General features: G+C 37.9%; 1 protein-coding gene across 9 annotated transcripts in view, besides 1 other annotated feature; it reads left to right on the plus strand.

Moving 5' to 3' along the window:
• STK31 (serine/threonine kinase 31) overlaps positions 1-21,821 on the plus strand; it is a 122,432-nt gene that overhangs the window by 78,148 nt on the left and 22,463 nt on the right. For all 9 annotated transcript variants that reach the window (NR_048542.2, XM_011515452.4, XM_011515449.4 and 6 more), the window contains one exon: positions 2,595-2,717. Coding sequence is in view for 8 of the 9 variants with exons in the window: in XM_011515452.4 (XP_011513754.2) it covers positions 2,595-2,717 (123 nt within the window). In the remaining variant the exon portion in view is untranslated. The remainder of the gene's footprint in view (positions 1-2,594; positions 2,718-21,821) is intronic.
• Positions 7,088-7,288: a silencer, noted in NCBI's record as "peak6439 fragment used in MPRA reporter construct". NCBI's record gives its function as "represses an SCP1 promoter by STARR-seq MPRAs in K562 erythroleukemia cells {active_cell/tissue: K562}" and the evidence as "EXISTENCE:reporter gene assay evidence [ECO:0000049][PMID:32103011]".

The following is a 21,821-nucleotide window of genomic DNA, read 5'->3' on the forward strand; positions in this document are numbered from 1 at the left end:
TTTGTCTTCAGTTAAACTGTGTCATGTAGTATAAGCAACTATTTGCCCTCAGCTAGATGCTAGAACAGCAGGAGTATTGTGTATTTTAACCATAAGTCTTAGGAGCTACCTGACATTATATACTCAATGGCATTGACAACATTAATAATTTTGTCATCATTAGGAAACATTTAATTGCTAGGAAACATGTAAGGAAACTAGGTGGCCATCTCCTAAACCTCTCTCCACTGGTGTCCCTCCGTCTATAGATACAATTTACATATACGTACTTTGCTGTTTTTTGATTAATAATGTGCATTTTTAGAAACCGGGGAACCTTGGACTTTTTAGTTTAAATCCTGATTCACCTCTAATGGCTGTTAATTCAGTGTCATATTACCTCAGAATAGGCAGTTTGTAGAGATAGCAAAATCACACAATTTAAGAGCATGTTGTGATTTTTTTGTCGTTATAATGGAAACAATTCTCTATTTTAATTGAGAAATAAAAATTGTATATATTTATCATATACAACATGATGTTTTGAAGTATGTATACAATGTGGAGTGGCCAAATCAGTAATTATTTTTCTAAACATTACAGCTTTATTGAGATACAATTCACATAATGTATACAATTCATTAATAGTTTGTAGTACATTCACAAAGTCGTGCAGTGATAACCAGTATTGAATTCCAGAACATTATTAACATTCCCAAAAAGAAAATCCATACTGATTAGCAGTCACTCAAATTTCCCACTTCTTCTCAAGCCTGGAAACTACGAATACACTTTCTGTCTCTATGGATTTGCCTATTTGGACATCTCATGTAAATGGAATGATACAATATGTGGCCTTTTATGCTAATTTCACTTAGCATAGTGTTTTCAGAGTTCATCCACGTTATTGACTGTATCAAAATGTCATTCCTTTTTATTGCCAAATTATATTTCATTGTATGGATGCACCACATTTTGTTTATATATTCATCAGTTGCTGGACATTTGGTTGTTTATACTTATTGGTTATATGAATAATGCTGCTATGAGCTTTAGCATACAATATTTTTTGTGTGGACATGTTTTCATTTCTCTTGGGAGTGGAATTACTGGGTTACATTGTTTTACTTTTTGAGGAGCCAAACTGTTTTCCAAAGTGGCTACATCATTTTATATTCTTCCCAGTAATGTATAGGGATTTTGTTTTCTCTACATCCTTGCCAATATTTTTTATTATCTGAGCAATTCCCTTTGACTAGTATATGTTATAATGCTTTTATACTTTGGTCATCTGCAAGTCATAGTGTAATGCTACTGGAGTATATATAGTCTTAATGGTTTTGATATGGTAGCTCAAAAAGATGAGAAAATGAAACTGCAACTGTAATCAAAAGCTGGATTGTACAGGATTTATACAGATTGATTTTCTGAAATATTTACTTTATTACATTAGTTTAACAAAATTAAGATATCCTAAGAAATATAACTAAATTATGAATTTTGAAAGATCTCAACCTTCAGGGGTTCTGGTTAGTTTACCTTTTGAGCATACTATTTGCATAATTATAGATATGACTACAATAATTACTCTTTAGTCATTCGTCATCTGTTATTATTCCCCAAAACATTGTTTTTAATTTTCAGTTAAAAATATTTATTCTGAAATATTGATCAAACTCACCTTTTGCTACATTTTCCATGCAATTTTCAGATTGAAGTGGTTATCAGGAAGATAAATTTGAAAAGTAGTCTGAGGTCAAGATCATTGCTTTTCAGGCCTTATAGTGCATACAACTCACCTGGGGTTCATGTTAAAATGCAAATTAATATTCAGCATTTCTGCAGTGGATCATCTGCATTTCTAACAAGCTACCAGTTAATGCTGTAGCTCCTGGCCCTTGGACCATACTTTGAGAAGCAAGGATCAAAATCGTAGCTAGAAAAAAGATAGCACTTAGTGACACATGCTAGGCATTGTATCTCTGTAAGGTAGACATTATTTCCATTTTACAAATTAATTCAGGCTCAAAGAGGTTTACACCTACTATGTACCCATAAAAATTAAAAATAAATTTTAAAAATGGACAAAAAAGAGGTTAAAGCCCTCGGTCCCACAGCAAATAAATAGGAGAGTGGGGAATTGTAACCAAGATCTGCCTGAATATAGGATTCATGCTATTGTCACTGATCATCTTTGACATGTTAGAAATGGTATATTTAGAGAATGATCAGTAAGGAAGGAAAGTGCTTTGTAGGATTTCAGTTCTTAAATGAATTATTTAGAATTTTCAGAATTAGAACATGGCACTGCTGCTCACTCTTGTGAAATTTATTTTTTAAAAAGAGTATCAAATGTTTAATCACAGAATAAGTGGTTGTTAGTATTAAATCTGTTCAAGTCTACAAAGTGAATGTAAAAAAAAGTCCCATAGTTAATTTATTAGACTGATTTTAAGAGCAATTTATAATAGCAGAAATTGGTAAAAATATTTGAAAGCAAGGGAATGAAATATTTAAAATGAATTTGTTTTTTGTATTGATTAAATGCAGAGTACTTCACAGAAAGTCACCTCAACTGTGTTGTATCTGAAATATGTAAAATATTGTTTTTGCAGAGTCAGCGAGCCTCGGTGAACATGATGGTTGGTGACTTGAGTTTGATGTCACCTGAGTTGAAAATGGGAAAACCTGCTTCTCCAGGTTCAGACTTATATGCTTATGGCTGCCTCTTATTATGGGTATGTTATTTTTTTGTTGAAATAGATCATATATATATATATTTCAGTATATAAAGTGATGATTTTATAGTGATTCTCCTTAAAAATAAAAAGCAGCAGACTTTTAGTAGAACTTTAAGTTTTAACAAAAACTATTGATATGCTTCCTATTACCTATTGTGTACTTTCTACAAATTGGCTTGATGTATATTTTAGGTATCATGCTATTGTCTTGGTTCTGTTGAAGTCAAGATTAACAGTGAAGATGATTTTGTCCTACATTAATCTGAAAGCAGTTCATGCATATATGGAAAATAAATGTTAAATAAGCCTTGGGTATATTCCTGCTTCCAGTGTAGACCAAATAGCTGTTTCTCATCCATAGTTTAAGAATTAAGAAGTTGGATGGAGCTGGAGACCATTATCCTAAGCGAATTTACTGTGGATCAGAAAGCCAAATACTGCATGTTCTCACTTATAAGTGGGAGCTAAACACTGAGTACATATGGACACAAAGAAGGGACACTGGGGTCTACTTGAGGGTGGAGGTTGGGAGAAAGGTAAGGATTGAAAAACTACCTGTTAGGTATTAGGCTGATTACCTGGGTGACAAAATTATCTGTACACCAAACTCCCATGACACACTGTTTACCCATGTAACAAACCTGCACATGTACCCCTTGAACCTAAAATAAAAGTTGGAAGACAAAAAAATAAAAAGCTTGTTTCATGTTGTACTGCTATTTTACGTAGAGAATGCCTCTTTTTCCAAAGTCTTGAGTGTGACAAAACCTTATCTTTGTTGATCACATAAATAAAAATAATCTCCTTGTTAGAAAAACAAGAGTTAAGAGGGATTAAGTATTAAGAGAAGGAAGACTATTCTTATCAGCCCAGGGGCCAGCAAGCATTTTCTGTAAAGGACCAGATGGTCTCTGTTGCAAGTACTGAGTTCTGCTGCTATAGCATGAAAGCAGCCATAGACAGTATGTAAACAAATCAGTGTGGCTCTTTTCCAGTAGTACTTTATTTATGGATATTGAAATTTGAATTTCATGTAGTATGCATGTGCATGAAATAGTATTCCTTCAGTTTGCTATTAAACATTTAAAAATGTGAAAACTACCCTTGGCTTGCAGCTGTACAAAAACAAGTAGTGGAATCAGTTTGGTGCAGAGGCCATATAGTTTGCTGATCTCTGTTCCAATCAGTGTAATAAGGTCAAAAAAAGAAATAAAAGTCATAGAGTTTGAAAATGAAGAAATAAAGCTGTCTTTATTTGCAGATGACATGCTTAATTATGTAGAAAATCTTTGAGAATGTACATAAAAGCTACTAGAACAAATGAGTTTAGAAAGATAGCAGTTTTAATTTCAATATAATTGTGTTTTTATATAAGCAACAAATAATAGGAAATTAAAATTTAAAAATCATTTACAAAAGTATTAAAATATGGAATTTGTAGGGGTAAATTTAGTAAAAGATGTGCAAGAGTTGCACACTATTAAAACTACAAAGCATTGTTCAGAGAAACTCAAGAAGACATAAATAAATGGAGCGATACACCATGCTCATGGACTAGAAGACATTGTATGGATATCAGTTGTTCTTGGCTTATAGATTCGATGCAATTTCAACAAAATTGCTGGTAGATTTTGCTTATTTTTTCAGAAATTGACAATTAGATTTTACAATTAATATAAAAATGGAGAGGATCTGAGATAGCCAAAACAAGTTTGAAAAAGAACAAAATTGAAGGACCCAAACTACCTGATTTTATGACTTAATAGATTCTAGGAAATTAAGACAATGTAGGCCTAGAGTGGTGGTTCAAAACTGTAATCCCAGCACTTAGGGAGGCTGATGCAGGAGGATTGCTTAATGCCAGGAGTTGAAGACTAGCCTAGGCAACACAAGTGAGCACCCCCTGTCTCTACAAAAAATAGAAATTAGCTGGGTGTAATGGCGTGTCTGTGGTTCTAGCTCCTTGGTAGGCTGAGACAGAAAGATTGTTGGAGTCCAGGAGTTTAAGGCTACAGTAAGCTATGACTGCTCCACTGCACTCCAGCCTAGGCTACAGAGCAGGACCCTGTTTCTAAAAACACAAGTGATACTGCTGTGAAGTTAGATGTCCAGATGAATGGAGCAGAATAGAGACAATATAAATAGACTGCACATGTATGATAACTGGCTTTTGACAAAGATGCCAAGGCAGTTCTCTGGGTAAAAGGAGAATCTTCAACAAAAATGATACAGGCCAACTCATACCATATGTAGAGAATAAATTTTGATTCATTTCTTATACCATGCACAAAAATTAGCTCAAAATGTGTATCAGACCTAAATGTAAAACGTGAGTCTAAAACTTATAGAAGAAAACATAGGATGAAATATTTGACTTTCGATTTGGCAAAGATTTCTTAAGTAGGACACAGAAAACATCAACTCTAAAAGAAAAAAATCATTTGGATTTCATCAAAATGGAAAACCTTGCTCTTCTAAAGACATTGTCACAAAAATGAAAGGCAAGCTACAGACTAGGAGAAAATATTTGCAAAACATATATCTGACAAAAATATTATATCCAGATTATCAAGAGCTCCTACAATCAATACTAAGAAGACTGCCCAGTTAAGAAATGGGCAAAATATTTGAACAGGTACTTTACCAAAGAAGGTGTCCACATGGCATGTAAGCATGTGAAAGATGCTCTGAACACCATTTGTCATTAGGGAACTACAGATTAAAACCAAAATGAGATACCACTATACTACTCACTATAATGTATAAAATTAAAAAGATCGTACCAACGGTTGCTTAGATCTGTTGTACCTAGAACTCATATATATTGCCCAGGGGAATGTAAAGGGAACAACCACTTTGAAAAACATTTGGCAGTTTGTTAAAAGGTTGAACATATTCCTACCCTATGACCCAGCAATTCCACTTCTAGATATTTAGCCAAGAGAAATGAAAGCATATGTCCACACAAAGATTTGTATGTAAATATTGAAAGAATTTATGTGTAATAGATGAAAACTAGAAACAACTCAAAGTCCATCAACAGATGAATGGAAAAACAGTCTGCTATGTATGTGTCTATCCATTGGAATACTACTCAGGAATAAAACGATTGAACTATAAATATAACTCAGTAAGATAGGTGAGTCTTAAAATAATTCTGCCAAGAGAAAGAAGCCAGATGATAAGGTTTGGCTGTGTCTCCACCCAAATCTCACATTGAATTGTAATCCCCATGTTTCAAGGGTGGGGTCAGGTGGAGATAATTGAATCATGGGGGTAGTTTCCCCCATGCAGTTCTTGTGGAAGTAAGTCTCACAAGATCTGATGATTTCATAAGGGGCATTTTCCCTTTTGCTTGGCACTTCTTGCTGCCCCCATGTGAAGAAGAATGTGTTTACTTCCCCTTCTGCCATGATTGTAAGTTTCCTGAGGAATCCCCAGTCATGCTGAACTGTGAGTCAATTAAACCTCTTTCCTTTATAAATTACCCAGTCTTGGGGATGTCTTTTATTAGTGGTGTGAGAAGGGACCAGTACAGTAAATTGGTACAGAGAGTGGAATGCTGCTGTAAAGATACCCGAAAATGTGGAAGCAGCTTTGGAACTGCGTCATGGGCAGAGGTTGGAGGGCTCAGAAGAGGACAGGAAGATGTGGGAAAGTTTGGAACTTCCTAGAGACTTGTTGAATGGCTTTGAGCAAAATGCTGATAGTGATATGGCCAGTGAAGTCCAGGTTGAGGTGGTCTCACCTGGAGATGAGGGACTTGTTGGAACTAGAATAAACGCGACTCTTGATGTTTTAGCAAAGAGATTGGTGGCATTTTGCCCCTGTCCTAGAGATTGGTGAAACTTTGAGCTTGAGAGAGATGATTTAGAGCATCTGGTGGAAGAAATTTCTAAGCAGCAAAGTGTTCAAGAGGTGACTTGGGTGCTTTTAAAAGCATTGTTTTGTGTAATCACAAAGATATGGTTTGGAATTGGAACTTATGTTTAAAAGGGAAGCAGAGCATAAAAGTTAGGAAAATTTGGAGCCTGATGATGTGGTAGAAAAGAAAACCCGTTTCCTGGGAGAAACTCAAGCCAGCTGCAGGAATTTGCATAAGTAACAAGTAGCTGAATGTTAATCGCTAGGACAATGGGGAAAGTATCTCCAGGGCATGTCAGAAAGCTTCGCAGCAGCCCTTCCCATCACAGGCACAGAGGCCTAGGAGGAAAAAATGGTTTCATGGGCTGGGCCCACGGTCCCCCTGCTGTGTGCAGCCTTCAGACATGGTGCCCTGTGTCCCACCTGCTCCAGTCATGGCTAAAAGGGGCCAAGGTACAGCTCAGGCCATGGCTTTAGAGGGTGCAAGCCCCAAGCCTTGTTAGCTTCCATGTGGTTTGAGCCTGAAGGTGCACAGAAGTCAAGAATGGTGGTTTGGGAACTTCCACCTAGATTTCAGAGGATGTATGGAAATGCCTGGATGTCCAGGCAGAAGTTTTCTGCAGGGGTGGAGCCCTTATGAAGATACTCTGCTAAGACAGTGCAAAACGGAAATGAGGGGTTGGGGCTCCCACACAGAGCCCCAACTGGTGTACTGCCTAGTAGAGCTGTGAGAAGAGGGCCACAGTCCTCCAGACCCCAGAATGGTAGATCCACTGACAGATCACACTGTGTGCCTGGAGAGGCAACAGACACTCAATGCCAGCCCATGAAAGCAGCCAGAAGCGGGGCTGTAGCCTGCAAAGCCACTGGGGCAGAGCTGCCCAAGGCTGTGGGAGCCCACTCTTGCATCAGTGTGACCTGGATGTGAGACATGGAGTCAAAGGAGATCATTTTGGAGCTTTAAGATTTGACTGCCCTGCTGGATTTTGAATTTGCATGAGGCCTGTAGCCCCTTTGTTTTGGCCAATTTCTCCCATTTGGAACAGGTGTATTTACCCAATGCCTGTACCCCATTGTATCAAGGAAGTAACTAACTTGCTGTTGATTTTACAGGCTCATAGGCAGAAGGAACTTGCCTTATTTCAGATGAGACTTTGGACTGTGGACTTTTGACTTAATGCTTAAATGAGTTAAAACTTTGGGGGACTGTTGAGAAGGCATGATTGTTTTTGAAATGTGAAGACATGAGATTTGGAAGGGGCCTGGGGTGGAATGATAATGGTTTAGCTGTGTCCCCACCCAAATCTCACCTTGAATTTTAATAATTCCTGTGTGTCAAGGGCAGGCCCAGGTGGAGATATTTGAATTACGGGGTGGTTCCCCCATACTGTTCTCATGACTTTAGCCCTATGCCTGCATGTATATTTAAAGTTGTCTGGTTTCATTGAACCAGCACCCTCATGGAAATAAACTAGCATGATTTTCATCAATGCTTCAGTAATCTATTCTTTATATCAGAAGGGTGAAAGTAAACATATCAAGTTTTTTTTTTTGTTTCTGGGAGGACTCATAAGATATCCCATAAGTGTGGTAATAGCAGTTTTTATTCCACCTATTTCCTTTAAATGATAGTAAAAAGCTCCATGAGTAAATATATTGTCTGATTTTCTACTCTTATGTATTGTTGATTAAGTCCTTTAAAAACTTTATTTTTAGATTAACTTGTACAATGGACTTTTTTTTGTATACATTCTATGAATTTTAACACACCTATAGATTAGTGTAATAACCACTGCCACAGCCAGGATGCAGAACAGTTCCATAACCCTGAAAATTCCTGTGTGCCATCCCTTTGTAGTCACAGCCTCCTCCCAACCCTTAAACGCTGGCAACCACTGACCTTTTATCACTGTGTTTTGTGCTTTTAAGAATGTCTCACACATAGCAATATGAACCTTAAATGTAAATGGGCTAAATGCCCCAATTAAAAGACACAGACTGGCAAATTGGATAAAGAATCAAGACCCATCAGTGTGCTGTATTCAGGAGACTCATCTCACATACAAAGACACACATAGGCTCAAAATAAAGGGATGGAGGAATATTTACCAAGATAATGGAAAGCAAAAAAAAAAGCAGGGATTGCAATCCTAGTCTCTGATAAAACAGAATTTTAACCAACAAAGATCAAGAAAGTGTAAGAAGGGCATTACATAATGGAAAAGGGATCAACGCAACAAGAAGAGCTAACTATCCTAAATATTATATGCACCCAATACAAGAGCACCAAGATTCATAAAGCAAGATCTTAGAGACCTACAAAGAGACTTAGACTCCCACACAATAATAGTGGGAGACTTTAACACCCCACCGTCAATATTAGACAGATCAACGAGACAGAAAATTAACAAGGATATTCAGGACTTGAACTTAGCTCTGGACCAAGTGGACCTAATAGACACCTACAGAACTCTCCACCCCAAATCAACAGCGTATACATTCTTTTCAGCACCACATAACACTTATTCAGAAATTGACCACATTATTGGAAGTAAAACACTCCTCAGCAAATGCAAAAGAATGGAAATCTTAATGGTCTCTCAGACCACAGTGCAATCAAATTAGAACTCAGGATTAAGAAACTAACTCAAAACTGCACAACTACATGGAAACTGAACAACCTGCTCCTGAATGACTACTGGGTAATTAACAAAATTAAGGCAGAAATAAATAAGTTCTTTGAAACCAATGAGAACAAAGACACAATGTACCAGAATCTCTGGGACACAGCTAAAGCAGTGTTTAGAGGGAAATTTATAGCACTAAATGCCCACAGGAGAAAGCGGGAAAGATCTAAAATCGACACCCTAACATCACAATTAAAAGATCTACAGAAGCAAGAACAAACAAATTCAAAAGCTAGTAGAAGACAAGAAATAATTAAGATCAGGGCAGAACTGCAGGAGCTGGAGACATGAAAAACCCTTCAAAAAATCAATGAATCCAGGAGCTGGTTTCTTGAAAAGATTAACAAAATAGATAGACCACTAGCCAGACTAATAAAGAAGAATCAAATAGACACAATAAAAAATGATAAAGCAGAAATCACCACTGATCCCACAGAAATCCAAGCTACCGTCACAGAATGCAATAAACACCTCTATGCAAATCAACTAGAAAATCTAGAAGAAATGGAAAAATTCCTGGACACATACACCCTCCCAAGACTAAATCAGCAAGAAGTCGAATCCCTGAATAGACCAACAATAAGTTCTGAAATTGAGGCAGTTATTAATAGCCTACCAACCAAAAAAAGTCCAGGACCAGACAGATACACAGTCGAATTCCACCAGAGGTACAAAGAGGAGCTAGTACCATTCTTTCTGAAACTGTTCCAAACAGTAGAAAAAGAGGGAATCCTCCCTAACTCATTTTATGAGGCCGGCATCATCCTGGTACCAAAACGTGCCAGAGACACAACAAAAAAAGAAAATTTCAGGCCAATATCCCTGATGAACATTGATGCAAAAATCCTCAATAAAATACTGGCAAACTGAATTCAGCAGCACATCAAAAAGCTTATCCACAACAATCAAGTCAGCTTCATCCCTGGGATGCAAGGCTGGTTCAACATATGCAAATCAGTAAACATAATGCATCACATAAACAGAACCAAAAACAAAAACCACATGATTACCTCAATAGATGCAAGAAAAAGCCTTTGATAAAATTCAACACCCTTCATGCTAAAAACTCTCAATAAACTAGGTATTGATGGAATGTATTTCAAAATAATAAAAGGTATTCATGACACACCCACAGCTAATATCTTACTGAATGGGCAAAAACTGGAAGCATTCCCTTGAAAACTGGCACAAGACAGGGATGCCCTCTCTCACCACTCCTATTTAACATACTATTGCAAGTTCTGATCAGGGCAATCAGGCAAGAGAAAGAAAGGGTATTCAAATAGGAAGAGAGACAGTCAAAGTCTGTCTGTGTGCAGATGACATGATTGTATATTTAGAAAATCCCATCATCTCAGCCCAAAATCTCCTTAAGCTGATAAGCAACTTCAGCAAAGTCTCAGGATACAAAATCAGTGTGCAAAACTCACAAACATTCTTATACACCCGTAACAGACAAAGAGCCAAATCATGAGTGAACTCCCATTCACAATTGCTACAAAGAGAGTAAGATACTTAGGAATACAGCTAGCAAGGGATGTGAAGGACCTCTTCAAGAAGAATTACAAACCACTGCTCAAGGAAATAAGAGAGGACACAAAAAAATGGAAAACAAATTCCATGCTCATGGATAGGGAGAATCAGTATCATGAAAAGGGCCATACTACTCAAAGTAATATGTAGATTCAGTGCTATCCCCATCAAGCCACCATTAACTTTCTTCACAGAATTAGAAAAAACTACTTTAAATTTCATGTGGAACCAAAAAGCCCGTATAGCCAAGACAATCCTAAGCAGAAAGAACAAAGCTGGAGGCATCATGCTACCTGACTTCAAACTATAGTACAAGGCTACAGTAACCAAAATAGCATGGTACCGGTACCAAAATAGATATATAGACCAATGGAACAAAACAGAGGCCACAGAAGTAATGCCTCAGAAGTATCTACAACCATCTGATCTTTGACAAACCTGACAGAAGCAAGCAATGGGGAAAGGATTCCCTATTTAATAAATGGTGTTGGGAAAACTGGCTAGCCATATGCAGAAAACTGAAACTGGACCCCTTCCTTACACCGTATACAAAAGTTAACTCAAGATGCATTAAAGACTTAAGACCTAAAACCATAAAAGCCCTAGAAGAAAACCTAGGTAATACCATTTAGGACATAGGCATGGGCAAAGACTTCATGACTAAAACACCAAAAGCACTGGCAACAAATGCCAAAATTGACAAATGGGATCTAATTAAACTAAAGAGCTTCTGCACAGCAGAAGTGAACACATCAGAGTGAACAGGTAACCTACAGAATGGGAGAAAATTTTTGCAATCTACCCATCTGACAAAGGTCTAGTATCCATAATCTACAAAGAACTGAAACACATTTACAAAAAGAAAACAACCCCATCAAAAAGTGGGCAAAGGATATAAACCGACACTTCTCAAAAGAAGACATTTATGTGGCCAACAAGCATATGAAAAAAGCTCATCATCACTGGTCATTAGAGAAATGTAAATCAAAACCACGATGAGATACCATCTCATGCCACTTAGAATGGCACTCTTTGAAAAGTCAGGAAACAACAGATGCTGGAGAGGATGTGGAGAAATAGGAACGCTTTACATTGTTGGTGGGAGTGTAAATTAGTTCGGCCATTATGGAAAATAGTGTAGCGATTCCTCAGGCATCTAGAACCAGAAATACCATTTGACCCAGCAATCGCATTACTGGGTATATACCCAAAGGATTATAAATCATTGTACTATAAAGACATGCACACTTAAGTTTATTGCAGCATTGTTCACAATAGCAAAGACTTGGAACCAACCCAAATACCCATCAGTGATAGACTGGATAAAGAAAATGTGGCACATATACACCATGCAATACTGTGCACCCTTAAAAAAATGATGAGTTCATATCCTTTGCAGGGACATGGGTGAAGGTGGAAGCCATCATTCTCAGCAAACTAACACAGGAACAGAAAACCAAATACCTCATGTTCTCACTCATAAGTGAACATGTTCTCACTCATAAGTTGAACAATGAGAACATATGGACACAGGGAGGGGAACATCACACAGTGGGGCCTGTTGGGGAGTGGGGGTCTAGGGGAGGGATAGCATTAGGAGAAATACCTAATGTAGATTATGGTTTGATGGGTGCAGCAAACCACCATGGCACATGTATACCTATGTAGCAAGCCTGCACGTTCTTCACGTGTATCCCAGAACTTAAAGTATATAAAAAAAAGAAAAAATAGAAAAAAATATAAATAAAAATAATATCATATTAGTGGTATCATACAGTATATAATTTTGTGAGTCTAGCTTCTTTCATTCAGCATGTGAATCATCTTTTGTGATTCATTCAAGTTGTCTAATGTAGTTTTTCCCTTTTTTGTTTCTGAATAGTGCTCTGTTGTATGTACATACCAAATTTGTTTGTTCACCTGTTGCAGAACATTTGCATTGTTTCCAGTGTCTGACTATTGCAGATAAAGCTACTGTGAACATGTGTGTATAGGTTTTTATGTGAACGTAAGTTTTTGTTTCTCTATGGTAATTACCCAGGAGTGAAATTTCTGGGTCAGATTGTAATCGTATGTATTATTCTTTAAGGACCTGCCAAACTGTTTTCCAGAGTGGCTGTACTGTTTTTGATTTTCACCTGCAATTTATGAAAGTTTCAGTTCAGCATCATTGTCGGCACCTCGTATTGTTATTATCTTCTATTTTAGCCATTCTCATAGGTGTGTGGTAGTGTTTCATTGTGGTTTTAATTTCTCTAATAGATAATGATGTTGAGCATCTTTTAGTTTGTTTATTATTGGCTTTCTGTATTTTCTTTGGTGAAGTGTCTGTCTTTTGCCTGTTTTTTAATTGGATTTTTGTTTTATTGCTGTAGAGTTTTGGGCATTCATAAATACATTCTAGATAGAAGTCCTTTATCAGATGTCATTTGCAATGATTTTTTTCTGGCCTGTAGCTTTTCTTTTTATTTTCTTTTCAGTGTCTTTTGCAGAGAAAAGGGTTTTAATTTTGAAGTTTAATTTATTATTGTTTTCTTTTTATGTATCATGCTTTTAGTGTTGTGTATAAGAACTCTTCGCATAACCCAAAGACTTGAATATTTTTTCTTATATTTTCTTCTAAAAGCTCTATAGTTGTATGGTTTACATTTAGAGCTGAGATCTCTTTGGATGTAATTTTTGTGTAAGGTGGGAGGTTTATGTCAGGGTTCATGTTTTTGCATATGGATGTCCAATTTTACAACACCATTTTTTTAAGAGAGTGTTATTCTCTGTTGAATTGTCTTTGTATCTTTGTCAGAAATAAATCGGCCATTTTTGTGTGAGTCTGTTTGTGGACTCTTTCTGCTGTTGATCTGTGTGTCTATCCGTTTACCAACATCATACTGTCTTGGTTACTGTATCTTTATAGTATGTCTTAAAATTGGGTAGTATGATTCTTTTTCAGATTTTAGCTATTCAGCTATCTTTCCTTTTTTGTATATATTTTATTTTATATTTTACATCTTACCTTATTTTATTTTATTGAGACGTGTAAGGTCAGCCGAGAGAAAGGAAAAATAGACCTAAAGTCAGGCGCGTAAGTTTATTGAACCTGAGGGGCTGCTTCACCTCACTCAGAGGAGGCAGCCCTGAGTTTACAAAATGAGGGGTTTATATTGGAGAAGGGAGTTTGAGGGAGTTCTTTGGTGTGGCCGCATTCCAGGGTTGTTTGCTGGTTAATTTTGTCACATATCACCTTGTGACATTTGTGGTAGCAGAACTTTCAGGAAGGTGTAGGTAAAGTTTGTTTATTCTTCCAACGACCTCCCGCTGTGCGGTCCAGATGGTTCGTAATTGGGGTTTGTTTATCCAGCAAGGTCTGATAAGTGAAGTCTGCTGGCTTCACTGTGGTGCCTAGATAAGGGCTTAGAAATGTAAAGAGGCTTGGGGGAAGGGTGGACAGCACGGAGACGTTTGAGGGGAGCGCCAAGAAGCTTTATGGGGCAGTTTGTCTTTAAGACGCAGTCTCACTCTGTCACCCAGGCTGGAGTGTACTGGCACAATCTTGGCTCACTGCAACCTCTGCCTCCCGGGTTCAAATGATTCTTGTGCCTCAGCCTCCCGAGGAGCTGGGATTATAGGCACCCGCCACCACACTCGGCTAATTTTTGTATTTTTAGTAGAGATGAGGTTTCACTATGTTGACCAGGCTGGTCTCGAACTCCTGACCTCAAGTGATCCACCTGCCTTGGCCTCTCAAAGTGCTGGGATTACAGGAGTGAGCCACTGCGCCTGGCTGCTTTTCCATGTATATTTTACAAACAGCTTGTCTGTGTGCACAAAAGCCCTGCTGTGATTTTGATTGGAATTGCATTAAATCTGTAGATCAATATGGGGAGAATTGACATCTTTACTACATTGAGCCTTTAATTTGTGAACTCCATTTATTTAAATTTTCTCTGGTTTCTTTTATCAACGTTTTGTTATTTTGGGCTTACAGATTCTATACATGTGTTGTTAGATTTATACCTAAGAATTTCATGTTTGGAAGCTATTGTGTTTTTTAAAAATTTTTGTTTTCTAGTTGGTCAAGTTCTTTTTTACAACAGTATTTTTTTGATAGTAAAGTTAGTTTGGTACGAAAGGCTGTGTATACTTTGACCTTCCTCCTCAAAGAATTGGGCAATTTATTATGAAAGCACATAGTGTAAAATATATAAAAGGGCAAAAAGTCAAGATCCAAGGGCTGTGCTTAAAAAGGTAATATTCAGAGTTAAACTGGAAGCATTATCAAAAGATTTTATTTACAAGGCCATGAAGGGATTACTGTCACTTTGTCTTTAAAAAAATTTTAGAAATAGCAATAATAAAAAAGTAATAGTTTGATAGCAAAGCTCTAGAATACTAACTAGATATTTTGGGCATATCAAAGATACTGTGGTTTTAGATCATTTTTCTTATGAGATCCAGATTAAATGAAGTGTTCTGAAGACTGCCTACAGAAAATTCAAAACAATGGACAATTCAAGTGTTGTGGGTTATTACCTTCAGTAATAAACCATATCTTTTTTTAAACGTTTAAATTAGGTTTGGGGGTACATATGCAGGTTTGTTATATAGATAAACTCGTGCCACAGGGGCTTGTTGTACAGATTATTTTGTCACCCAGATACTAAGCCTAGTACCCAATAGTTATTTTTTCTGCCCCTCTCCTTCCTCCTACCCTCTGCCCTTAAGTAGGCCCCGTGTCTGTTGTTCCCTTCTTTGTGTTCATGAGTTCTCAACATTTAGTGAGAACACAGAGTATTTGGTTTTCTATATCTTTTAACTGAAATACATGGACTATAGTTTTATCATGACACCATTTGTATTAAGGTTCTTCACTATATTTTTAGGTTATTATGGAAATCTTAAAGGTGTTTTCTAGAAGCCAGTTTTTAAAAAGTATAACAGTTCTGTCTGATGTTACATTGAAAAAGAATTGTGTTTCTGTGTGTGTTGAGGAGTACTGCTGTGAAGAAGTTGAATATAAAGAAGAGAATGGCCCCCTTTCTTTGTTTATTTTTATTTATTTATTTATTTTTAAGAGATGGGGTCTCACTATATTGCTCAGGCTGGTCTCAAACTCCTGAGCTCAAGCGATCTTCCCACCTCGATCTCCCAAAGTGCTGGGATTACAGGCATGAACTACCACGTCTGTCCCCCTTTTATTTATTCAGAGACACATTTTCAGTGTTGCTTTCCCTAAAATGCATTTTTTCCTGCTTTATTTTTCTGTTACCATATTATACACTTATTTATCTTTATTATTGTCTGCTTCTACCACTCGAGTGGAAGCTTTTTGGGAGTAGCTTATCTATCTTGTTTGCCACTATATCCTCAAATGCCTAGAACTGTGCCTGGTGCAAAGTGGGCACTCAAATATTAGTTGAATGAATGTTTAAATTTTAGCCACAGTTATATGCTGAAGTATTAGGCTTTAAAAAATAGTTCCATGTTTTTTTCCTGAGTTCATTTACTTACCTCTCATTTATGGCCCCATGTACATCATTTTATTCTTTAAAACCTTGCATGAAGATTTTATTCCGACTCTTAATATATTTCTAGGAGATGTTAGTGGTCATACTGATCACCCAGTGAACCTAACTTTGCATTTCTGGACCTTCTTAATAACGTGAGACCCAAACCTTTATGTAATTTCAGTCACTTCCCCAAACCAGGATTTTGTGAATCTCTACAATTGTTATTTTTCAAAAGTAATAGAGTCCAATCCATTATATTTTTCTCCTAACAGGATTTCCTGTCCTCTCATTTACTGTGTCTGCTAATCTTAAATCTCCAGTGGGTTTATTTACTGTCTCTCTTTTCTTCCAGTTTATCAGCAGCCTTCTAGCTTTTTTCTTTATTTACTCATTCTTGGACCCTATCATACAATTCCCAGACTATGCCTTATATTCCCATTTACTCCTGTTCTTCTGTTTAGTCTTTTTGGAAAAAACTCAATTTTAGATAAGCTATGGCCTGCCATTTGTGAGTAAAACATTCTTTCTCATTTCTCTCTCTCTCTTTTTTTTTTTTGAGACGGAGTCTTGCTCTGTCGCCCAGGCTAGGGTGCAGTGGTGTGATCTCGGCTCACTGCAACCTCTGCCTCCTAGGTTCAAGCGATTCTCCTGTCTCAGCCTCCTGAGTAGCTGGGATTACAGGCGCACGCTGCCATGCCTGGCTAATTTTTTGTGTTTTAGTAGAGATGGGGTTTCACCATCTTGCTCAGGCTGGTCTCGAACTCCTGAGCACAGGCAGTCCACCTGCCTCGGCCTCCCAAAGTGTTAGGATTACAGGCGTGAGCCACCACGCCCAGCCCCATTTCTCCTTTTTAAAAAGTTTTATTTCTATGCGTCAATAACTTTTTTAAAGGCATTACATTTTATTTCTTTAACAGAGTGTGACCAAACATATTTGTTTTTATTTTTTATTTTTTTATTTTTTGGAGATGGAGTTTTGCTCTGTCACCTGGGCTGGAGTGCAGTGGCACTATACAGCTCATTGCAGCCTCAATCTGTTGGGCTCAAGTGATCCTCCTGCCTTAGCCCCCTGAGTAGCTGGGACTACAGGTTGTATCACCACTCTTGACTCATTTTTGAATTTTTTTTGTAAAGATGGGGTTTCACCATGTTGCCCAGCTTGGTCTCAAACTCCTGGGCTCAAGCAATTTGTCCACCTTTGTCTGCCAACATGGTGGGACTACAGGCATGAGCCACTGTGCCCAGCCCATATTTGTTAATTTAAGGACATTATTATGTCTCTTTATAACATGGTGGTAACATCCTCCCTTGGTGAGAGCACATAGAACATGTTTGGAACTAACTGCTTTAGAAAGTTTTATCTCATTACACCCTCCTAACAAGCATGTGAGGGAGTATGTTATTATCCAAAGTATAGATATGAGAATTTTGTGTGTCAGAGAGGAAGTACCTGAGTGATGCCCCATTTCAGAATTTTAGTGTCTCGAGGCTCCATGCAAGACCACCTTCTGCCTTCACATCACATATTATTAAGCCTGGAAGGCAGTCTTCACTGAAGCCAATGATGAACAACTGATGAAGGGAACCCAGGGCTGGGAAATAAGTTACCAGTAAATGTCATGGCATTGACCACTATGAAGTCCCTTGTATCATATTATTCCCCTTTTAGGCATCTTTAGGCTTGTCTCCTATGTGCTGTTTTTTTAAGAAGTTCTCTGCTTACAAAGTCTTGCGTGGATGTATTTAATACTTTTGTTTGGAATACAGGTACACTTTTCACACGTGATACCTGGTTTTCATGTGTAATCCAAAAATAAGAGACAATGGGAAAGTTATGTTCCATATGCTGTCCTTTCTTGAGGACCAGCTCACGTGACTTGTGATAAGCTCTCCCACCTTCTCTGAACCTTAGCAGTGCCTCTCAGGAATATGCTAACTAAGATAAATGGAGAGAAAGGAACATGGGTAGCAGCCCCTTAAAATCTAGAGGTTTTATGATTCTAACATCATAATGAAGCAGACTGGGGAATAGAACTCATTATTGTAGAATTGAATGTAGGAGGATTAAGAGATACAGGTTGGGCCGGGCGCGGTGGCTCACGCCAGTAATCCCAGCATTTTGGGAGGCCGAGGCGGGTGGATCACGAGGTCAGGAGATAGAGACCATCCTGGTTAACATGGTGAAACCCCGTCTCTACTAAAAGTACAAAAAATCAGCCGGGCGTGTTGGCTGGCACCTGTAGTCCCAGCTACTGGGGAGGCTGAGGCAGGAGAATGGTGTGAACCCGGGAGGCGGAGCTTGCAGTGAGCAGAGATCACGCCACTGCACTCCAGCCTGGGTGACAGAGCAAGACTCCGTCTCAGAAAAAAAAAAAAAAAAAAAAAGAGAGATACAGGATGGACGGACTCACTAATCTCTTTAGTACCCTTCCCTGTACAGGAATTTCGTGTATTAATATTTCTGAAACTGCTTTGAGAGCCAATCAAGAACCTTAGACTGGTCATTCCTGTCTTATCAGATCCAAATGCAGAGAACTTGGAGGAGGTTCACCTTTCAAGGTTTTTGTTTTTGTTTTTTAAGATAGTCTATTTACCCATATTTTTATTCTTATTCTTTTTAAAATTTCTAATGTTTCAGCATTTCTCCTTTTATCATTTTTATCCTAATAACTTCTTTTGGCCATTCTTTCAAGGTAAGTCTACTGGTGACAAATTTTTAGTGTCCTTTATCTGAGAGCATCTTGATGTCACCTTTATTTCTGAAGAATATTTTCACTGGGAATAGAATTCTGGATTGGTAGTTCTTTTTCTTTTAGCATTTGGAAAAGATTGTGCTACTTTCTTTAGGTGTCCATGGTTTCTGATGAGAAATTCACTGTCATTTGAATCATTTCCTTTATAGGTAATATTACATTTCTCTCTAACCAGTTTCAAGATTTTTGTTTTCTTTAGTTTTAAGTTTATTATGGTATGTAGTGGCATGTGTTTCTTTAAGTTTATTCTGTTTGAGGTTTTCTCAGCTTCTTCAGCCTGTGGGCTTATGTTTTTCAACAAATGTGGGAAGTTCAGCAATTATTTACTCAAATGCATTTTAGCCCCCCACCCTTTCTCCTCTTTTTCTAGGACTCTGATTATACAAATTTTCTGTCTTTTATTGTCTCACAGGTTCTTGGGGCTCTGTTTATCAGGGTGTTTTTTTTTGTAATGATGGTTGTTCAAATGGGTTATTTTCTATTTTTTCATCTTCAGATTCATTAGTGCTTTCCTGTCATATTTATTCTATCATTCAGTCCACCTAATGAGTTTTAACATTTTTGATTACTGTTTTTCTGTTATAAAATTTCCAATTGATTCTTTTTTATATCTTCTGTCTTCTGTTTCTTTGCTTTCTATTTTAAAAATTTAAGTGTGTTTGTAATTGCTCTATGCAGCATTTTTATGATGGCCGTTTTAAAATCCTTCTCAGATAATCACAACATCTGTTCTATTTGGTGTCCGGTGGTTGTCTTTTTCTCAGTCAAGTTGAGATTATTCTGGTTCTTGATATAAAGTGATTTTTTATTGTACCCTAAACATTTGGGTTATTATGTTGTGAGACTATGAATCCTTTTTAATATATATATATATATATATTTTTTGTAGGCAGCCACCCTGTTTAGGTATAGTATGCAGTTCCAGATGGGGTTAGATATGTAGTTCCCCACTGGGCTCTGCTGACATCACCCCAGCAAAAGTGGAATGCCCAGTTGTACTGCCTTACTTCTCCTTGCTGCTGACAGATGGGAGTGTAAATTCAGCACTTTATTGAGTTCTTTTGACACCGGGAGACCAGGAGGAGCAAAGTGTTAGCTATAACTGTTTCACCACCACCTTATTCCACCTTCTTGTGCCTTGTTGCTACCTGGTGAGAGTGGAAGTTTTACTCCCCAGTGGGTCCTGCCAACACCGTGGGGAGTGGGCAATGAAAAACTGAATGCTGACTCGTACTACTTCACACTGCTTTGTTTCACTTTTTTTGGCTGCTGGGTGGGAGTGGAAGTAAGCCCTGTTCTGAGTCCCACTGACAGTATCCCAGACTGTAGAGTGACAGCTAGTGCTGTTTCTCACTGCTGTCTTCTGCCTCTGTTGATGGGTGGAAGTAGAAGTTCAGTTCCCTGTTTGGCTTCATGGATACCATGCTAGTGGAGGAAGCAAAGGGATGACTTCCCATGACTTGTTGCTGCTGGGTAGGGCTGAAAGTCCAGCTCCTCACTCAGCACTACTAATACTACGGATGGGATAGGGGGCAGTTTTTCGTTTGGTGTGTGACTGGAATAGGGTATATTACCTATTACAGTTTTCTGTTCTGCTAGGCCACCCTCTTCCCAGTCCTGTGGCTACAGGAAGCAGGCTTTTCTTGGAGCTTTTGTGTGTGTGTGTGTGTGTGTGTGTGTGCCTGTGTCTGTTGGCATTTCTGGGTGGCAGACTTCTCAAGGACCCCATCAGAGATATAGGGGGGCAAAAAGAAAGCCCAGGGAACTCACCATTATATTGTTCCTCAAGTGGCAAGGTCCTAGCTACTTCACCTTCTTCTTTCCATCTTTTAGGGTTTTCCTGTGTTGTATTATAGCTAGAGTTGTTTGTTTTTTTTAAGAGGAAAGGTTGATGTGAAATGTGACTACTCCTTGGCTGGAACCCCTTGCATGCTCTTGTACCTTGGGAGCTGAATGCTGTTGCACTGCATTACTTTAATTGAGCCCTTGGTGCTTTCTTTTGGTTCTTTGACCTCCTCACAGCCACCTCATTCTCACATTCCTCTCAACAATTATTTTAAACCTTTTCATCAATTCTCCACTTAAATCCTATCCTCATTCTTCTCAGATGATCTTACTTCTTATTTTACTGAAAAACTTGAGATCATGTTATGTGCTTTTCATCAAATTTGAGCACTTACAAATTACAGTCATCCCTCAGTATACACAGGGAATTGGTTTCGGGACCCCCACATATGCCAAAATCTGCGCAAAGTCCCACTGTGAGTATTGTGGAACCTGCTAATACGAAAAGTGGACCTTTTATATATGCAGGCTTTATGTCTTATTAATAGTGTATTTTTCCATCCATGTTTGGTTGAAAAAAATCTGCATGTTAGTGGGCCAACACAGTTCAAATCTACATTGTTCAAGGGACTACATTATCTGTTTACCCAGTCTTCTATCTTTGCCTCCTATTTCAGAGAATTAAAGTGCTCCTTCCCCAGTGCAAGTAATTCAGTACCGTAACATACAATATGGGGTTGTAACCTTGGAGCGGTAGGCTACATGTATAGCCTAGGTGTGTGGTAGGATATATCATCTAGGTTTGTGTAAGTACATTTGTTATGATGTTCACACAAGGATGAAATTGCCTCATGATGCATTTCTGAGAATATATTCCTGTTATGTATTCCTGCTGTTAAACAGCACGACTGTTGTTTTGTCAGTTACTGAGAGTTGAAGTCCCTGGCTATAATTGTAGACTTGCCTATTTCTCCT

This window comes from Homo sapiens, chromosome 7 (assembly GCF_000001405.40).
Source record: "Homo sapiens chromosome 7, GRCh38.p14 Primary Assembly".
In the NCBI taxonomy this organism is placed as follows: Eukaryota; Metazoa; Chordata; class Mammalia; order Primates; family Hominidae; genus Homo; species Homo sapiens.